The sequence below is a fragment of the Homo sapiens genome, chromosome 7, assembly GCF_000001405.40.
Source record: "Homo sapiens chromosome 7, GRCh38.p14 Primary Assembly".
In the NCBI taxonomy this organism is placed as follows: domain Eukaryota; kingdom Metazoa; phylum Chordata; class Mammalia; order Primates; family Hominidae; genus Homo; species Homo sapiens.
The window spans coordinates 88734934-88756013 of record NC_000007.14 but is presented as its reverse complement, the minus strand read 5'-3'; the positions used below and the strand labels follow the sequence as shown (position 1 = coordinate 88756013).

Genomic DNA, 21080 nt, shown 5'->3' with positions numbered 1-21080 from the left:
CTACTTAGAACCTGGAACTTTTTTTTGTTGTTGTTAAATAAATTAATAGACTTTATTTTTTAGAGCAGTTTTAGGTTTGCAGAAAAATTGAACAGAAAGTACAGAGAGATCCTATATCCCCTTACTGCTCCAGCAGACAGGTTTTTCTATTATTAACATCTTGCATTTATGTAGTACATTGTTACAATTGAAGACCCAATGTTGATATAATATTATGAACAAAAGTTCATGGTTTACATTAGAGTTCACTCTTTGTCTACAGGTTTTGACAAATGTATAACAACACGTATTAACCATTACAGTATCATACAGAATAGTTTCACAGCACTAATATTCCCTGTGCTCCATCTGTTCATCCTTCCCTGTCTCCCTCTGAATCCTTGGCAACCACTGATCTTTCTACTCTTTCCTTAATTTTACCTGTTCAAGAATGTTGTGTAGGTGGAATCATACAATAGTTAGCTCTGTCACACTGGCCTCTTTGATTCAGCAACAGACATTTAAGTTTCTTCCGTATCTTTTTAGTGGCTTGACTATCTCCTTAATTTTTGTTAATGAATAATATTCCACTATGTTAGGGGTTGAATTCTGCACCCCCCACCTAAAATGGCAAAGTCCTTATCACCTGTGAATGCTACCTTATTTGGAAATATGGTTTTTGCAGATGATCAAGTTGAAGTGATGTCATTGGGGTGGACCCTAATCCAAAATGACTCTTGTCATTATCCAAAAAAAAAAAAAAAAAAAGGTTTGGGAAGGATTTGAATGCAGAGACAGAGGCACAAGGAGAATGTCATGCGAAGATTGTAGTCCTTATGCCATGAGCCAATGCCATGAACCAAAGAATGCCAGAAGATTGCTAGCAAACCATCAGATGTTAGGAAAGAGACAAGGAACAAATTATCCTTCAGAAGAACCAACCCTGCCAATACCTTGATTTCAGACTTCTAGCCTCCAGAATTGTGTTACAATTAATTTCTGTTGTTTAAGGCACCCAATTTGTGATACTTTGTTACAGCATCCCTAAGAAACTAATGCACCACAGTTTATCTATTTACCTACTGATTAATATTTTGGTCACTTTGAAGTTATGGCAATTATGAATAGAGCTGCTATAAAACATTCATATGCTAGTTTTTGTGTGGACATAAGTTTTCAACTTATTTGGCTAAATGCTAAGAAATACAATTGCTGAATCTTAGGTTTAGTTTTGTAAAATATTGCCAAATTGTCTCCCAATGTGACTGTGCCATATTTCAATCCCACCAATAGTGGATGAGAGTTCCTTTTGTTCCATGTGCTCATCAACATTTATTGTTGTCAGTGTTTTGGATTTTGACAATTTAAATGGATATGTAATAGCATTGCACTGTTGTTTTAATTCACAATTTCCTAATGACTTATGATGTTGAACATCTCAATATGCTTATTTGCCATCTATATATCTTTTTTGCTGAATTATCTGTTCATGTCATTTGCCCATTTTTAATTAAGTTGTTTGTTTCACTGTTGCTAACTTTTAAGAGTTCTTATATTTTAGATACCAATCCTTTATCAGATATGTTTTGCAATTATTTTCTCCACGTCCATGGTTGATCTTTTCATTCTTTCAACTGTGTCTTTTGCAGAGCAGATATTTTTAATTTGAGTTCAACTTACCAATTTTCTCTTTCCTGAATCATGTTTTCAGTGCTCTATTTAAAAAGTCATTACCAGACCCAAGGCCAACTAGATTTTTCTCTGTATTTTCTTCTAGGGTCTTATGGTTTTGCCCTTAAAAGTAAAGGGCAAAGTCTATTATCCTTTTTGAGTTAAATTTTATAAATGTGGAAAGTCTGTGTCTAGATTCTTTTTCAATTTTTTTCACGTTGATCCAGTACCATTTGTTGAAAAGACTATACTTTCTCCATTAAACTGCCTTTCCTCTTTTGTCCAAGATCAATTGACTGCATTTGTGTGAGCTATTTCTGGGCTGTATTCAATTCAATTGATCTATTTGTCTATTCTTTCACAAATATCATACTGTCTTGATTACTATAAAAACTTGTTTAGCAGCTTAAACTACTGTATATTTTAATATTTGCTTGTACATTTATGTATTGACTTATTATTTTTGAATTACAAGTCCATGAAAGCAGAGAATTTCTCTATTATGTCCACTTCTATGGTTCCAACACCCAAAGCAATATGGGGATATATATGTGTGTATATATACATATATGTATATATATGAACACACATATATAGGACAAATTCTGAAATTTAGGTTATGATATTTTTGCCTTTTTACATCTGCATCCTATGAAACATCTAATCAAATTCCACTGATTCTACTATTTAAACTCTATTTAAGCTAATTCCACTATTATTAAATTCTCACTTTCTCTATTTAAAGTCTCAACTTCTCCTCCCAGATATGATGCTTTATATCCTGCCACTTAAAAAATGAATTATTGTAAAAACTATGCATTCAATTACATTAAAGTTTTTATTACTTGGTAGTCAGAGATTTGGCATTCTTAAGTATGTATCATCCAAAAGGGACCTTCGTTGTCCCTTAAACTATTGAACCTGTCAGGCAAAAAACTCTGGTAGGTACAGCTCATAAATTTAAAAAAGGGAGACCTTAGATCAGGCTCTCACACTAGGCACCAACAGAACTGGGCTGGTATTATGAACCTGTGAAGTAGGTTGGTGTAGGAAGCAACAGGGACCATAGTAGGCATCTCATGGGAGTAGCTACCATGCAGCCTAAGGTATATGAGATCTCAAGCAAAATGTTGCAGGATCCTCCTACTACTTTAAAAGAAATTAAAAATCCAGATTTTTCTATAAATCCTCCTAATATTTAAATACTGGTAACTAACAGAGCATCTTTTTTTTTTATACTGTGGTTTTTCTTTTGATCACAAATGAAAAAGCAAACTGCACTGGGAAAACATGCAGACAATATAGAGATACAATAAAGAATTTATGCCTTGAATATAAAGAACTTATATCTTGAATATAAAGAACTCCTACAAACCAATAACAAAGAAAAACATTAAAAAAGAAAAGAAGAATTTCAAAGGCACTTCACAAAAGAGGATATTGAAACTCTTAATATGAAGCATAAGAAAAGATGCTCAATATATTTTTTCATCAGAGAAATGCAAATTTAAAAAGCAATGACAAATCTCAACCCACCCTTCAGAATGATTAAAACTAAAAAGACCAAACTACAAAATGATGACCAGGATCTGGAATTATCTCACATTGCTGGTGGGAGTTTAAATTGGAAAAACATGCTGTATGATAGATCTCTTGAAGTTAGTCCTCCTATCTAAAACTCTGTATCCTTTGACCAACATCTCACCAACTGCCCACAACCACTACCACTCCAGCCTCTGGTCACCACTTTTCTACTCTCTACTTTTATGAGATCAACATTTTTAGATTCCACATGTTAGTGACATCACGTGGTATTTGTCCTGTGCCTAGCTTATTTCCCTTAACATAATGTCTTCCAGATTTATCCATGTTGTCACAAATGACAGAATTTCCTTCTTTATTATGGCTGAATAATATTCCACTGTGTATGTGTAACACATTTTCTTTATCCATTCATCCACTGACAGACACTTAAGTTGATTCAATTTCTTGGTTACTGTGAATAATGCAATAAACATGTGAGTGCAGTTACCTCTTTAACATACTGATTTTATTGCCTTTGGATGTATATACCCAGGACTGGGATTGCTGCATCATATGGTAGCTCTATTTTTAATTCTTTGAGGAATCTCCATGCTGTTTTCTATAGTGGCTGTACTAATTTCCATTCTCGCCAACAGTGTACCTTTTCTTCACATCCTCCCCAACACTTGTTATCTTATGCCTTTTTTGTTAATAGTCATTCTAATAGGTGTAGGTGATATCTCATGGTGGTTTTAATTTGCATTTCCCTGATGATTAGTAAGGTAAAGCCTTTTATAAATCTACCTGTTGATTATTTGTATGTCTTCTTTTGAGAAATGTCTATTCAAATACTTTGCCAATTTTTAATCAAGTTATTCGGGTTTTTTTCCTATTAAGTTGAATTCCTTATATATTTTGGATATTAAGTTTTTATCAGACATACGGTTTGCAAATATTTCTCTCATTCCATAGGTTGTCTCTTTACTTTTTAATTATTTCCTTTGCTGTTCAGAAGCATTTTAGTTTAATGTAATCCCATTTGCCCATTTACTTGTTGCCTGTGCTTTGGGGGTTATAGCCACAAAAATCATTCCCCATATCAGTGCCACAGAGCTTTTCCCTTACGTTTTCTTCTGGTAGTTTTATATTATAGTTTTGGGTCTTACATTTACTAATCTGATTTTTTTTTATATAATATGACATAAGGATCTAATTTCAAATTTTAGTATTGACAAATGCTGAGAATGGGTTTTAAATATTCTTACCACAAAAATGATAACTGAGGTAATGCATATATTAATTAGCTCCTTTTAGCATTCCATAATGTATTTCTATTTCAAAATATTATGTTGTATACAACAAGTATATACAATTTTGTAAATTTAAATAAAATAAAATTAAGAATGAAATGTTAAAAATAAACTGAAATCTTCCTGGTCCTCTTTTCTCAATAAATTAATTGCTGTTATAGAAAAAATACTTAAGTTGGAAAAACTCATTTGAGAAACTGCTTGGCAATATCTAGTAAAGCTAAACTTATATTATCTATTCCATGACCAGCAATCCTTTTCCTAGAAAAACAGTAAACATAAATGAGTGTTTATACCCACTAAAGGCACACATAGGAATATTTATAGCTGCTTTATTCCCAATAGCCAAAATTTGGAACAATGCAAGTGTCCATGATCAAAAGAGGGGAAAAATAAAATGTAATATATCAATCAAGGGAATATTACACAGCAATATAAAATAAAACTTGCTTGCAATGTTCATATCTTAACACATATTAATATCCTAGACATAAAAATAAGCAAAAGAATTGAGACACAAATGGCTACAAACTGTCATTTCATTTACATACAATTCAAGAACAGACAAAAATAATTTATGTTGATGGAAGTTGGGATAGCTGTTATTTCTTGGGTGGGGTATATTGACTAGGAAGAGATAGGGCTATACTGACTAGGAAGATATAAGAGAGTGTTCTTGAATGCTGTCAATGCTCTGTATGTTTATCTTGGGGGTGTGTGTGTGTGTCTGTATAAAAACTCTTTGAGAGGTACACTGAAGAGTCAATGAGATAGCAAGACCCATCCAACAGAATGGCTACAATTAAAGAGACTAACAGTACTAAGTGTTGGCAAGGATGAAAAATAATTTAAACTTTCATATAGCATGTACTGAGATTAGTGCAAGTATTCCAGAAAACTGTTGACAACATCTCCTAGAGCTGAATACTCATATACCCTATGACCCAGCAATTCCATGCCATGTGTGCATGCAGGTGATCACCAAAATACACATATAAGAATGTTTATTGAAGAAGTATTCATAGAAACCTCAAAATGGAAACAATCCAAATGTCCCTCAACCATAGCATGGATAGAAACTGTGGTCTATTCATATAGTAAAATATTAGATAACAATAAAAGCAAGTAACTGCTACACAAAAGAAAATGAATGAATTTCATGGACATGAAGTTGAACAAAAGAAACAAGGCACAAAGAAGGAACAATATGCTTAGAGTCATTCAAGCTGAGAATAGAGTTCATGTCCCACTACCTGATTCTCTGGTGTTTGTTTTGTTTTATTTCCTCATGACCAATCTAAGTTTATGTATTTATTTATGCCATCTCTTGCCACAAGCAAAGAGATGGAAGATCAGTACAGATACTACTTAACTTACAATGGGGTTATGGCCTGAGAAACTCATCCTAAATTGAAAATATTGTAAGTCAAAAATGCATGTAACACACCTGACTTACCAGACATAGCCTAGTCTGGCCTACCTTACATGTGCTCGGAACACTTGCATTAGCCTAGAGTAGAGCAAAATCATCTAATATGATGCCTATTTAATAATAAAGTATTGGCTGTATCATGTAATTTATTGAATACTGTTCTGAAAACAAAGACCAGAATAAGTGTATGAATGTTCAAAGCACAGTTTCTACTTAATGGTATCACTTTCATAATATTATACATTTGAAAGTAAAAAGATTTTAAGTCAAACCATCCTAAGTGGGGGACCATCTGTATACTGGTCACCACTTGATACAAGTAAAGAAAATGGGCACAAGGTCCCATATACTTTTCTAGCCCATATAGAAAGTCGTGGTCCAAATCAATGCTATCCCCTTTACAGCCAATCAGAAGCAGATTCATATAAGGGTTATGGAATAGAATTTGGTTACAGTCTCACCAGGGAAAGAGCCTAGATCTGATGCAGAGATAGGGTAGGTAATGTTCCTGGATCTCAGAGTTCTTCACAGGGCTGCTTCAGGAAAGTATTAAGCATGCTCACTTTCCCCTAGGAAAGTGCAACAGATAGGTGAGGCCCTTCCACATGTAAGCTGAGCCCTCTTCCCCGGGGTACTACTGGACATAGATCTCCTCAGCTGTAGCTGGGACCAAGCCAGCAAGCCAGAAATTCAGGACCCAGCCACTGCCATTCTTGACCTGGACTACACAGCACTGGAAACCAAAATAGTTCAGTGTTTTAAAAGTTTTGTCAGATGTATCTATAAAAGAGACTACAATATGAAAAGCTATGAAAATTTTAAAATAACTTAATTGAACAAAATACTTTTTTGAGAAAGTCTTCAGAAACTACATATTTTAATCTAGTTTTTGTTTTTCCCTAACAGTTCTAAATTCTTTCACTCTAGGCTGCCTTATTAGCTTACTGATTGCACTCTTTCTTCATAGCGACCATTTTTCATTTTTGATAGATCTGTTCTGTTTTACCCTAATATTTAACTGAACAGAGGTTTAAAACTTTGAAATAAGAAAAAACAATGTTTTGCAATTGCCTAATGTCTAACTCAGTTTAGGTTCCAAATAGAACTAAGAAAGGAAGGAAGGAGAGAAAGAAAGAAGGGAGAGAGGGAGGGACCAAGAAAAAGAGAAGGCATTTTTAGCAGCAATTTGAAAATCCTTAAGATAGTGATGTGTACTCCTGAAATGAACCCAACAGGATTAAAAAGTGGAGTGAGAGTGCCTGTACAGTACTGAGGTCCCTAAGCAAAAGAGGGACCTGTAGAGTCCTGAGGTCCCTATGCAATATTTTTAGTACTGCCCCCTAGCAAATCAAGTAACAAAGACAGGGATGATGATTTAATCAAAGTCAAGAAAAGAATTTAGGATGAGGTTTTCTCAGACTTAGTTTCAATTACTTATTTTGCAAAAGCATATCAGTTAAGTCAGACAGTAAAGTTGTACAGTGATAGCTGAGAACACATGGCAAATGATAAGAAACAAAACTGATTTCATGAGTTTATATGCCTTGAAATTTTAAAAGAAAAGTTTCAGTTCAATGATTTGGATTCATTAAGCCTACATCATCAAGAAGCCATTGATCCTGACTGATGTTTCTCTGAGTCATCAAGAGAAAGACACTGCCTTTCCAAAATAATTCATGGATTCACAACCAAGCAAATAAGACCTATCTATAAATCTCCAATAGTAGAGCACCCAATCCCATTCCACACGCCTCCCTCTCCTCAAAGAAGAATTCCATAAGCACAGGAGGTAGAGAAAGACTTCAGATGACAGAATGATAAAGAAAGAAAAACAGGAGTCCCTGCTGTTTACACAGCACTTATGTGTTCTCATTTCACCGTTTGCAAAGTTATGGTGCCAGCTTGACAAAACCATGGAGAGAGAAGAGGGCTCAGCTCCCAGCAAATGCCAAGCAATGTGATCACCACCGTGTCTGCTGGCTCAGAGAAACCCAGTGAAGTCTGGAAGGATGGCGGTATCATTCACTGCGGCTTGGACCCTCTTCTACTTTTCCTGGACCCTTCCCATGTCATATTCAAGGGAAGGAACCATTCATTTAAAGACAAAGTGTATATTCCAAATTTATAATTTCTGATTTCCAGATGCCACACTTAGTTTAAAACACAACCTAATTGAATATACTTCTCACATTTAAAATAAATTTCAGTACACTGGGGCTATTATACAATCTGTTCTTATTACCTTGAAGATAATACAAGGCTTATAGCTTCTCAAGACGAGCAGACAGAAAATTTTCTTTTTTGTCTTTCCCTCAATTCCACACACCACATTGGAGAAAAAGAAAATATACCTACCTTCATCAAGCTTAACATCCTCTTCAGGAAAAATCACAAGTATAGATATTTTTTATTAAACTAGAGACATGTGAATCAAAGGTAATGCATAATTCTGGGTTGGATCCTAGAGGTTTTTTAAATCAATAAAAAATATTTGGGGACAATTGGAGAAATTTGAATTGAAATAATATTAGGTATATTTTATCAATTTTAAATATTTTGGATGGCACTGAGGTCATGCAGGAGAATTTTCTTAGGAGATACAAGCTGAAATATTTTGGAGTGAAATGTCAAAATACTTGTAATTTACTTTCAAATGAATCCGAAGAAAAATGTGTCTATGTGTGTGAGAGAGAGACAAAGCAAATGGTGTAAATGTTAATAATCACTGAATCCAGGTGAAGGAGATAAAAGTACTTACTATGTTATACATACTTTTTTGTCAGTGGAAGAAAATATGAGGCCACGTAATGCAGCTTGCAGTTGCAACAGCATTTACAACATTATCTTATTAATACATTTTCTAAGAGGAAGAAAAGTGCAAGAGTTGTAGCCTAAAACCAAAAGTCATGTGATCAGAAAAATAAAACAATTCACACATGCCAGTATGCCCCTAAATGAGTTCTCTTTTTGAACTTTAAGGAAAAGAAAGTATACATAAAAAAAAAAAACAAGAAGAAAACCCCCCAAATATCAGAGGACTGTAGTCTTTTGCTTAAAGGGAACTGTAACACAAGAGGGTCTCAGAAATAGTATTTGGTTACAGACAGGATGAGCTATATAATTTTAGGAGCCCAATGCGAAATGAAAAGGAGGTTTCTTTAATTAAAATATTATTAAGAATTTCAAGAAAGTAATAGCAGAACATTAAAGTGTGGGTCCCTTCAGAGCGTGGATTCCTGGGCAACCACATTGGTGGCATGCCCATAAAGCCCACCCTTATTACAAGTAAAAATACTGAATATGCCACAGTTCTCTTCTTATAATTATAAAAAATCCATAGCCACTCAGCCAAAATAAAGGCTGTATTAAACCACTGTACATGTGTCAAGAACCAAAGTTGAAATAAATGAGCTTTATAATACATTCATTCAATATATAAGTTCTATAATTTTAGCAATATTATTTTGAGTTAATAGCATTTATTATACTATCTTTTGTATTCTAAATATAAACTCATATATTAACTATTCATATCACATGACCCAAGGCTTTTATATTTTAGACTATATGGGAGACTTATAAAAACACTTATGCTGTCAGCCACATAAAACATTATGTGTGAGTTGTAAAATGGATTTGATTTTCTCAAAAGCATTCACCCTTTGAAAGTAAAGAAACTGAGATTGTAATCTAGCAATTTAACAACAACAAACATGAATTTTTACTATGTTTAGTTTCACATCTTCAATTACTCATAGATGAACTGATTTATAATGTTTGCATTTGTCTTGTCAAATTGTCTTGATCTGGTAATTTGCCTCATGACCTTGTGCAGTTTGTAGAAAGAAGTGGAACGTTAAGCCTTTGTCCTAGAAAACTCAAGACTGGGGTAAACAAATCAAATTAACAAACACTGGCTAATAAGTTTATCTTATTACGAGTTCACATAGTTGTTTAATGTCACAAAATCGCAATGAATCATTTTTTAATGTTGAAATGCTTACCCTGTGAAGTGTTATTTTATGAGGATAATTTTTCATCTCCTTCTACCTGGTAAAACTATTTCCTTAATTATCATTAATCATGCTTCATGCAAATCAACTACACAGGCAAATCGCCAACACAAAAAATATCCTATGAAAATTTAAATCTTTTTTTTTTTTTGCAAAATTCTTTCATTATGAATTAGATCATATTGGTTATAAGTCACAATATCTAATTAACTTCCAGATATAAATGTAGTTCCATTCCTCCAAAACAAAGCTGTATTTCCTGACTTCTTGCAATATTAGAACATTTCCCTTTAACTCCTGAGCTTTGTAAGATATTTTATCTTTTGTTGTAGGTTGCTAGACTCCTATGTTAAAAGAATGGCAGAATATAAAACCCATACAATTTTCAGGGATGATAGCCTGACATCCGGTGATATTTCAAGTAAGCCAAAATTCCTACAAAATACCTGTATATTCGAATTTAAAAACAAAAAAAGCCCCTAATATAGTACAGTAATATTAATTTTCATTTTATCTTAACCAATAAATAATCACATATTTCTTAGTTCCCATTTGAAAACACCTGTTTTAGTATGAAAATACTCCTTGGATATTTTCTGATTCTTCTATAATGCAAATATTGACTATTGACTAATATATTTTAAAGGTACTCTCACATAAGTTGCTCTGTGGGGTTGGCACACTACCCATTAAAATAGTCCTTAATTATTTTCTTGCCAATTCACAAAACTTTTTAAAATGCAAAAAAAAAGATATTATTTTTTAAATGTTTAATAGCATAACTGTGAGGTGGGGCTGCCGACTCTGCCAGATATCAAGTCACATTTTAAAACAGTGATAATCAAAACAGCATGCTGTTAGAACAAAAATAAGTGTGATGATAAATAGAACATAGTGAAAATGCCTGAACAAAACTATAGAAAATTTTTTAGACATAGGCAACATAAAGTAACAGAGAAGGACTACTAATAAATAAAGATTATTAATTAGCAATCTGTGGAAATTGACCTTATATCAATCTAAATTCTTTATAGACTAATAAATTGAGTAAAAACAAATCATAGGAAATTTAAATAGATAAAGATCACCAGAGGGACGATCTATCTGCAATAAAAACACAATTTATTCAAATTAAGCCTCCCAAAAATAAGTAGACAAAAATAAATTACATTAAATGAGTTTAAAGCTATTTAGGAACTTATATAAACTTCAATTCTGAGACAGAAGCAATGCAATTAAACTAATCTTATGGTGGAATTCTATTACTTTTATATTAAAAATACTGATGTTAATATCAAAATACAACAATGATAATGAACTTGAGGTAAAACCGGTTTACTCTTATACTCTGATGAAACTGTCTTCATATAACCCTTATAAAAGGCAAACTGCAATCTGTATGAAGACTAGATTTATTTCCACAATTTCCCTGAATACCCACATTTCTGGGAAATTTATGTAACTGAATAATTTAGCTGCAGAGAAATCAATATGTATAAACATAACAATAAAAAATTAGAAATATATACAAGGTTTAATGATGGAAGAATGGTTAAATTAATAATTTTGCATTCATTATAGTATTAACATTATTTGCATCCATTGTAGCCTTAACAATCTCACTTAACACTTTTTAGGAAAATTGGCAACATGATAAAATAAGAGAATCTCTAGAAAGTGTTGTCAGACATTCTCTAATAAATATTAAAATTGATAACATTTGATTCTAAGATTGTCATTATAATCTTGGTTAAGAAGCAGTAGGGATTATCATCTGTGCTTAGGCTTTGAGAAATGTCATTCAACAATATGTTTCAAAACTTATAAAAACAAGTGTATTCATTCATAGAGGAGGTTGCAGTACTTTTTAAAAGACCACAAAATATGTAATAATTCAAAAACAATAGAAGTTTATTTTTTAGTCAACTAGTTCCTGAAATGGGGTTATAGCCAAAACTAAATAAATGTAGATACAGCTACAGATATAGATTCATACAAACATGAAGATATAATTAAATTAAAAAATACAGAGGCTGGGTGCAGTGGCTCACGCCTGTAATCCCAGTACTTTGGGAGGCCGAGGCAGGTGGATCACAAGGTCAGGAGATTGAGACCATCCTGGCCAACATGGTGAAACCCCGTCTCTACTAAAAATACAAAAATTATCTGGGTGTGGGGCCGCATGCCTGTAATACCAGCTACTCAAGAGGCTGAAGCAAGAGAATCACTTGAACCCAGGAGAGGGAGCCTGCAGTTAGCTGAGATCGCTCCACTGCACTCCCGGCTGGCCACAGAGCGAGACTCCGTCTCAAAAAACAAAACAAAACAAAACAAAACAGATGTATGTGTCTCCAGATTGGCTTTCTTTTTTAAAAGAATTTCAGGTGATTCATTTTTCTTTTAGTTTATTTGTATTTTCTACAATGACTAATACTTTCTTAAATCATTAAGATTAAAAAATTAAAAAGTGGTAAATTAAAACATACGTTAAAACATTGAAAAAACTTATTTAATATGCTAAGATTAAACACAATCTGCAGTTGTTAAGTACATCATGATTACAAGTATGTATTTATACATTCACATGTATATATACACACATATACACAAAGATTATAAAGGCATTTGTATAAATATGTAGTTGTGTTAAGTTTTTGATATTACAATTACTTTTCCGTCTTTTAAAATGTTAGGTCATTTTAACAATTTTTAAAGAGAAATCTTTAAAATGAGAAGAAAAGCATTCTTTTAAATCTAACTGTAATTTGCTCTAAGAACTGGGCTGCAGAATTATTCTGAGAGACAGAAATACTGTTTTTATTTTTAAATTAAATCAAAAACTTATTTGATTGATTGTCTCTGTTAAAGCTGAGAAAACTGGAGTCTGTTTAGATTATGTCGTGCATTGAATGATGGCTCCCCAAAAGATATGCCTAAATCCTAATTCCCAGAACCCGTGAAGGTGACCTTACTTGGATAAGGGATCTTTGTAGATGTAATTAGATTAGGGGTCTTGGCATGAGATCATCCTGAATTACCTGAGTGGGCCCTGAATGCAACGAAGTGTCCTTGTAAGAGAAAGGAGAAGACACGCGGAAGAAGAGCCACATGAACACGGAAGCGGAAATCAGTGATGCAGCCACAAGCCAAGGAGAATCAAAGAACGCCTGGAGCCACAAGAAGCTGGAGGGAGGCAGAAAAATGAATCTTCTCTAGAGCCTCTGAAAAGAGCATGGTCTTCCTGACACCTTGATTTCAGATTTCTGGCCTCCAAAACTGAGAAAAATAAATTTCTGTTGCTTTAAGCCACCCAGTTTGTAGTAAGTTGTTAAGGAAGCCATGGGAAACTAACACACAGTGGTTATACAAAATGAAATAAATTTTTCTCCATAATGAAGTATTAAGAATATAAAATATTTTCCTGGTCACTGAAGAACATGCTTTGGGGTCCCTGAATGGGGAGGAGAGGTGCGGGAAACAGTCACCAGGAAAAAAATAATCTAGCACAAATTGGCAAGCAGGACTAAGGAGGGTCTGACCAAGAAGCTCTAAACTAAATAACTTAGTTTTACTTGTACATTTTCTCCCTGTGCTGTTCTGAGCTTACGCTCCATCTTTTATCCCCCATTCTTCAGTAAAAGTTTATTCTTAAAAGAACAGTGCTTTAGAGATTGAATAACCAGCATCTGTGTTTCATGCCAGGGATGAGAGGAGAAAGCAATGTTGAAAAGGCTAGAAACAGAGAAGGAGAGCGGAATTCAGCGGCACCATGAAAATAGCAATGAGCAGTGAGCAGAATCAAACCTATTAAGGGATTTGGAGGAGGCAGGGGATGGGGCTTCAACAAATGCATTTGGATAATTAGAGAAGTGAGACTCCAAAGACTACTGAACTTGGCCACACACAAGCAATAGAGGTTTGGATTAAATTACAGGAGAGGTCAATTTTAGCCAAAGTAAAATTTTAAGTTCCTTTTAAAATCAGCTATGTAGGGCTACATCTCTGACCTTTTGTTTTCTCTTCTTCCTCCATCTCTTCCGTGTCACGATGTGGATTTTTCTTACCAGGCTGTAAGATAGGAATAGCCAAGTTAAATTAAGTAGAGTAAACACCAAGAACTTGCTACCCCACCCCAGGGTTGTTAATGTGAACAAACTATTAAAACAGAGATCATGAGGACTCAAAGTGAGAAAAAACAATTAACACAACAATCTTTAAAACATCAAAGAGGTTTGTCTTTTTGTGCCTGGCTAATTTCACTTAACATAATGACCTCCAGTTTCATCCATGTTGTTGTAAATGACTGAAGGATAGTTATCAGAGGCAGGAAAGGGTAGTGGAGAGCTGAGGGGGAAGTGGGGATGGTTAATGGGTACAAAAAAATAGAATGAATGAATAAGGCCTAGTATTTGATAGCATAACAGGATGACTACAGTCAATAATAATTTAATTGTGCATTTTAAAATAAATAAAAGAGTATAATTATATTGTTTGTAACACAAAGGATAAATGCTTTAGGAGATGAATACCCCATTTACCCTGATGTGATTATTACTCATTGCATGCCTGTATCAAAACATCTCATGTACCTCATAAATATGTACACGTACTATGTAACCACAAAAATTAAAACTAAAGTATTATAAAATTAAAAAATATCAACAAGGGTGAACAAAAGGAGAGTGGTGCAAGCGAGAAAGGAAGACAAGCCGGTGAAAAATGGTCAGAGGGGTGAAAAGATAGGAAGATAAAAGAATAAAATAGTGATGAGTATGTTTCAATCAAATAAATAATGAGGTAAGAAGAAGATGAAAGAAATGGGGAAAGAATTTAGCAGGAAAGGGAAGTAGAAAAAGCTTTGAATGCAGAACACAATATCACCATAACAAATCAGATTATATTAAACATGAGTGCTTTTAGAGCATATATAAAATCATTTCAACTTTCTGACTTTAATTAGAGGATAGTATAATCAATTTAAATTTTAATTTAAATGACACTTTCCAAAGATCATAAAATTTTAGAGTCAACAAAGATTTATTACACTCTGGGAGAAGTTAGAAATTTGGAAATGCATTAATTCTCTTATGACATTTGGAGTAGTTACAAAGCCAGTTGTTTGGTAAATAACTCCATGACCTAAAAGAGCTCATTTATTTTTCAAAGTGAATATTCACTCTAAGGGAGCATCTTTCATAAAAGGAAGCTCCAATTCAGGTTTTAGGAAGAAAGGCTAATGATGAAACAGCACTTTAGTGCTTCTATTTTGAATAAATTATTAGCCTTTTCCAGTTCCAACATTAATTTTGTTATTTATGTGAATTAATATAAACTGAAGAAAAACTATCTAATGTTATTAATTCGAAAAATGTGGCTTTGGAAAACTTTTAGTCTTCCATTTTAGTTTTATAGGAAAGAAGTTCTCAAAAAGATGAAATGTGAAGGTGATGAATATGTAATAATGTTTTCATACACTTGCCAATTTAATATGTTTGCATAAATATTTAATACATCAATATTTTCAAGAAGAACATGTTCTGCATTTCAATGTGTCTTTTCTTTTTCATTAGATTGGCCTATTTCTAAAGTCCCCAGAGAAAATTGTATTATTTGGTGGACATTTCCAAAACAGGGATCAAACCTCCTTATTTTGTGAGTGCATAAGAAAATGTAATTTTTATCTGGACTCCATGCAGTCTCATTATTATACATATGTGTACATGATTTGTAAGAGTAAAATCTGCTTTAGTTGATTTGGCATTATATAAAATTATGAAAAACATAATTTGAATCAAATATTAAGAGTGAAGCAAGTGTGTTGAAAGTACCTTAAATTTCAATCAAAGAAGAAATGTTTGTGGCTAATTCCTGACATTACAACTTTGTCCAGGTTTGAGGTACTTGCATAAAGTATGTAAACTTTTATCTTGAAATTTAATTTAACTCTATTAAATTGTTCTCATTTTAAGGTTCTATTCAGCTAAACACAATTCTTTATTAAACTGCTCTCCCTAAATCTCATTCAAATTTAACTACTTTTCCAATATACCTTCTCAAGTCATAAATATGCCTGACTACTCCACACATAGTTCCTCTCAATGACACCTTGAATCTGTTAGTTGATTTCTTTTTCTTTTCTTTCTTTTTTTTGGAGGGGGCGGTGGGGACAGAGTCTTGTTTTGTCTCCCACGCTGGCATACAGTGGCGTGATCTTAGCTCACTGCAGCCTCAAACTCCTGGGCTCAAGCAATCCTCCCAACCCAGCTTTCTGAGTATCTGGGACTACGGGTGTGCACCAACAGACTCAGCTAACTTTTAAAATTTTTGTGAAGGGGAGGTCTTGCTATGTTTCTCAGGCTGGTCTCAAACTCGCGGCCTCAAGCAATCCTCCTGCCTGGGCCTTCTAGTTTCTTTCTTTACACGTGCTCTTTGAGGTGATATTTTACATATATGTACTTGCTGCCTTAGAAAAACCATCTAATTTATCTCTGATGTTACTATTCTTGTCTCATGTTTCTATATACGTCTTTTACTGGTGTACATATCAAAATTTTTATAAAACAAAACTGCTGACCAGGAATCAACTACTGAGGATCTGCCTAGGACTTACCAAGCTTATGAGGCAGTAGTCTTTCAGCTTTCAATTTTCCTGCAAGTCCTCAAGGTCTAGCAAGACATAGTCGACCTTCCCAGGACTCTGCACAAGCAGGTTAGCATGACTTTTCTCCAGCAGGGAAATCACAAGTACACAAAGGCTAATCACCTCTAAGAGTGGCAGAGAATACATGCTATCTCTTTAGACAGACAAATGATTGGGAGTAGAAGAGTTGATAAACACTCAAGCTGTCATTTTCTTCAGAGTCCCCTAGCAAAAGTTTTAAGTTAGTAGTTGTAAAATTTCAAGACATGAGCACTACAGGTGTAGAACATAAGCTCCTCTGGGGATGAAGATTTTTGTCTAGTTTACTATTCCTCTGTGGTTAGAAAAACGGTCCTCCTGCATGCTAAGTGTTCAATAGTTAATTGTAAAATAAATGAATCAGAGGAGGACAATAATTTTAAAAGGAAAAAAAGTGACCAGTTTTTTTAATGTTCCATTTACATGATTGAATAATGAAATGAATTGTTCAATGGGTGAAGCGCATCAGGATTGGACAGGCCTAACCCCAGAGCACATTTGGCAAAATTATGGGGACTTGCTCTTCTCTGAGAATATGCTACCAAACAACAATCTTCTATTACCTTATACTCTGACAGCCTTGGTTTTCTATCACAGTAGTCAACAAACATTTCAGTGTGAAAATAGAAGAAAACACAATATATGGAGTTTTCTCAAAAAAATTAGTAGAATTACCACTACCATATGATCTAGCATCACACTTCTGAATATCCATCCAAAAGAATTGAAATCAGGATCTTAAAGAGACATCTGAAGCCGCATCAATATTCACAACAGCCAAGATGTAGAAACAACCCAAATGTCATAAACAGATGAATGGATAATTGTATTCTCAACTTTTGTTTTAGATTCAGGGATACATGTGCAGGCTTGTTATGTAGGTATATTGTGTGATGCTGAGGGTTGGGGTAAAAATGATCCATCACTCAGGTAGTGAGCATAGTACTCAACCCCTCCCTCCCTCCCAATTCGAGAAGCCCGAAGTGTCTATTGTTGCCATATTTATGTATATAAGTACTCAATGTTTAGCTCCCGCTTATAAGTGAAAAGGCACAGTATTTGGTTTTCTGTTCCTGTGTTAATTTCCTTAGGATAATGACCTCCAGCTACATCCATGTTACTGCAAAGGACGTAATTTATTCTTTTTTTATGGCTACTTAGTAATTCATGGTGTATATGTACCAGATTTTCTTCATTCAATCCACCAACAATGGGCACCTAGGTTGATTCCATGTCTTTACTATTGTGAAAGTGCCGTGATGAATGTATGAGTGCACGTGTCATTTTAGTAGAATAATTTATTTTCTTTTGTATATATACCCAGTAATGGGATTGCTGGGTCAGAGAGTAATTCTGTTGTAAGTTCTTTGAGAAGTCTCCAAACTGCTTTCCACAGTAGTGGAACTAATTTACATTCCCACCAACAGTGTATAAGCATTCCCTTTTCTCCTTAGCCTGGCCAACACCTGTTGTTTTTTGACTTTTTGATAAAGTCATTCTGACTGGTGTGAGATGGTATCTCACTGTGATTTTGAAATACATTTCTCTGATGATTAGTGGTGTTGGGCATGTTTTATATGTTTATTGACCACTTGCCAGTCTTCCTTTGAGGAGTGTTTGTTCATGTCTATTGCCCAATTTTTAATGGGATTATTATTTTTTTTGCTTGTTCAATTGCTTAAATTCTTTACAGACTCTGGATATTGGTCCTTTGTTGGATGCACAGTTTGTGAATATTTTCTCTCAGTCTGTAGGGTATATTTTTACTCTCTTAATAGTTTATTTTGCTGTGCTGAAGCTCTTGAGTTTAATTAGGTTTCATTTTTCAGTTTTAATTTTTATTACAATTGCTTTTGAGGACTTAGTCATAAATTATTTCCCAAGGCCGATGTCCAGAATGATGTTCACTAGGTGTTCTTCTAGGATTCTTGTAGTTTGAGGTCTTACATTTACATCTTTAATCCCTCTTAAGTTAACGTTTGTATGTGGTGAAAGCAAGGGTCCAGTTTTGTTCCTTTGCATATGGTCTTTATTGCAACTACTGAATTCTGCTGCAGGATGAAAGCAGCCCTAGACAATGCATAAAAGAATGAGTGCCACTGCATTTTAATAAAACTATTTACAAAAACAAGCAGCTGTCCAGAATGGGACCATGGGTTACTGTTGGCCAAATCCTGTATCATAACACATAAAAATTCAAAATATAACAATATTTTCTATTACAATTTCACATTTGAAACACATGGGGCCATCCCTAATTTACTACTTGTTCATATTCTCTCTCCCTCCTCCCTTTCCCTCCTCTCCCAATCTCTCTCTCCCACCCTCTGTTCCAATCTCATCTCTCTCTTTCTCTCTCTCTCTTCCCCACTCTATTCCCAAGTGTTATGGGAACAACCTACCCCAGTGGGTAGGAATTTTGTCCAGCAGTATAATGAACTGTTAATTCTCCTATCTAAACTCAGATGTTCCTGAGTTTACTGGATATCATGCACTATTCACCGATACCATCCACTTATTGTCTACTCAGAGGCATAACTCCCGCATTTGTCCCCTTTCTTTCTCTCTTCCTTCATTATCTGCAACATTGATATTCCTTAGGACTCTTTTCCTGTACTCATGTCCTCTTTATCTATGTTCACTCCCTAAGAGATCTCATGTAAACTCATAACCACAAATACTGTCAATCTCCTGAAAAATTGCTAACTTGCATCACCAAGCCAAACCTGACTTGTGAACTCTAAATGAATATGTTCAAATTGTTTTCTTTTTTTTTTTTTTTTTTTTTTTTTTTGAGACGGAGTCTCGCTCTGTCGCCCAGGCTGGAGTGCAGTGGCGGGATCTCGGCTCACTGCAAGCTCTGCCTCCCGGGTTCACGCCATTCTTCTGCCTCAGCCTCCCAAATTGTTTTCTTAACATCTTCAGCTAGGCAACTAAGAGGCAACATGTTTAAAACTGACTCTTGATCTCTTCCATATCTTTTCCTCTCATAGTCCTATATGTCAGTAAATGGCAATTCTATTTTTTTTCTGATTTCTGAGATCAAAACATTTATAGGCATAACTTAATTCTTGCTTTTCCTCATAACTATATACAACTAACTATAAATACTCTCAACTTTTTCTTCAAATATCCAGAATCTAATAGTTCAAGATAATCTAATTCTAACTACCCCCATATCTACTACTCTAGTCTAAGCTACTGTCATGATCCACTTCAACTATCTGGGCTGCTTCTCTTACCTTTGTTTCAATGTAGTGTGATACAGTAATGATCGTTTTCTTTTTAAAACAAAATACAGATTACGTCATGTTTGCTTTAAAACCTTCAATGGCTTTCTAGCTTCCTCTGAGTGAAAACTAAAGTACAAGACCCTACATGATCTAGACAAATAAGATCTCTCTCTGATCTTATCTCTTACCACTCCCTCCTTGTTCACTTCCAGCCACAAACTGGACAAATTTGCTATTGCTCAGGACACATCTAGCCATCTCTCATCTCAGGAGTTTGTATTCCCTTTGCCTCTCCTTTCTGTATAGACAACTTTGCAGGCACCTCCACTTTCTTCAATTTTTCTGTCATAGAGCCATGATATAAAATAGAATACCAACATTGATATTAATTCTATTAATAAAAATGTTAATATTAATGCAATAGAATATTAATAAAGACTAGGACATCCATAATAGCAAATGCATGTATGGGTAGCTAGATAAACATAGCTTCAGTGTATAACTGAAATCTAGTAGATTACAAAACAGAATTAATATCTTCCAGGTAACTGTGAAAGATAAATACTAACAGCTAACACTTAATAACTGTTATTCTTTTGGACTGTATTGTGTGTGTCTTGTGCATATTAATTCACTTAGTCATCAAAACAGCCCTATGGAGCAGGTAATACTATTCTCATTTACAGATGAGACACTGAGGCAAGAGTGGTTAAATAACTTGCCCCATTTCACATAAGTAGTAAGAGCTATGATTTAAGTCTAAATAATGGCTCTAAAATTATGCCCTTGATCATCGTACTCTTGACCACTGTTCAAACTATCTTTATAGTATAAAGGTTTTTAATAAAGTAAAATTTCTTTAGAAAAAAATTAAGAGGGCCAAATACATTGTAAAGTAAGATTACAAAAGTAAAGACAACTGTGCTAGGCATAATTCTAAGATGTTCCCATTATACCCGCCTTTCAGTGTGCACCTCTGTATAAACCCCTCCATTGATGGTGGACAGGCTTTGTGAATGTGATGGAATAGTCTCTTCCATGACTGGGTTATGATACCTGGCACAGCTGACCTTAATAAGGGCAGATTATCCTCAGTGGGCTTAACCTAGGTAGTTGAGCTCTGTTCGTAAAGAAGAGTTTCAAATTTGAGAATGGGTATTTGATATGCAGGAAGTTCCCCATTGCTGTCTTTGAAGAGAAAGAGGGTCATGTGGCAAGGGACCTAGAGGACCCTTAAAG

General features: G+C 34.3%; 1 long non-coding RNA gene and 1 pseudogene across 1 annotated transcript in view; both read right to left on the bottom strand.

The window, feature by feature from the left end:
• Nucleotides 6320–6544, bottom strand: COX6A1P7 (COX6A1 pseudogene 7; annotated as a pseudogene).
• LOC107986816 (uncharacterized) overlaps nucleotides 11817–21080 on the bottom strand; it is a 63027-nt gene continuing 53763 nt past the window's right edge. The window contains exon 3 of the long non-coding RNA XR_001745261.2: nucleotides 11817–13997. This is a non-coding gene — a long non-coding RNA (uncharacterized LOC107986816). The remainder of the gene's footprint in view (nucleotides 13998–21080) is intronic.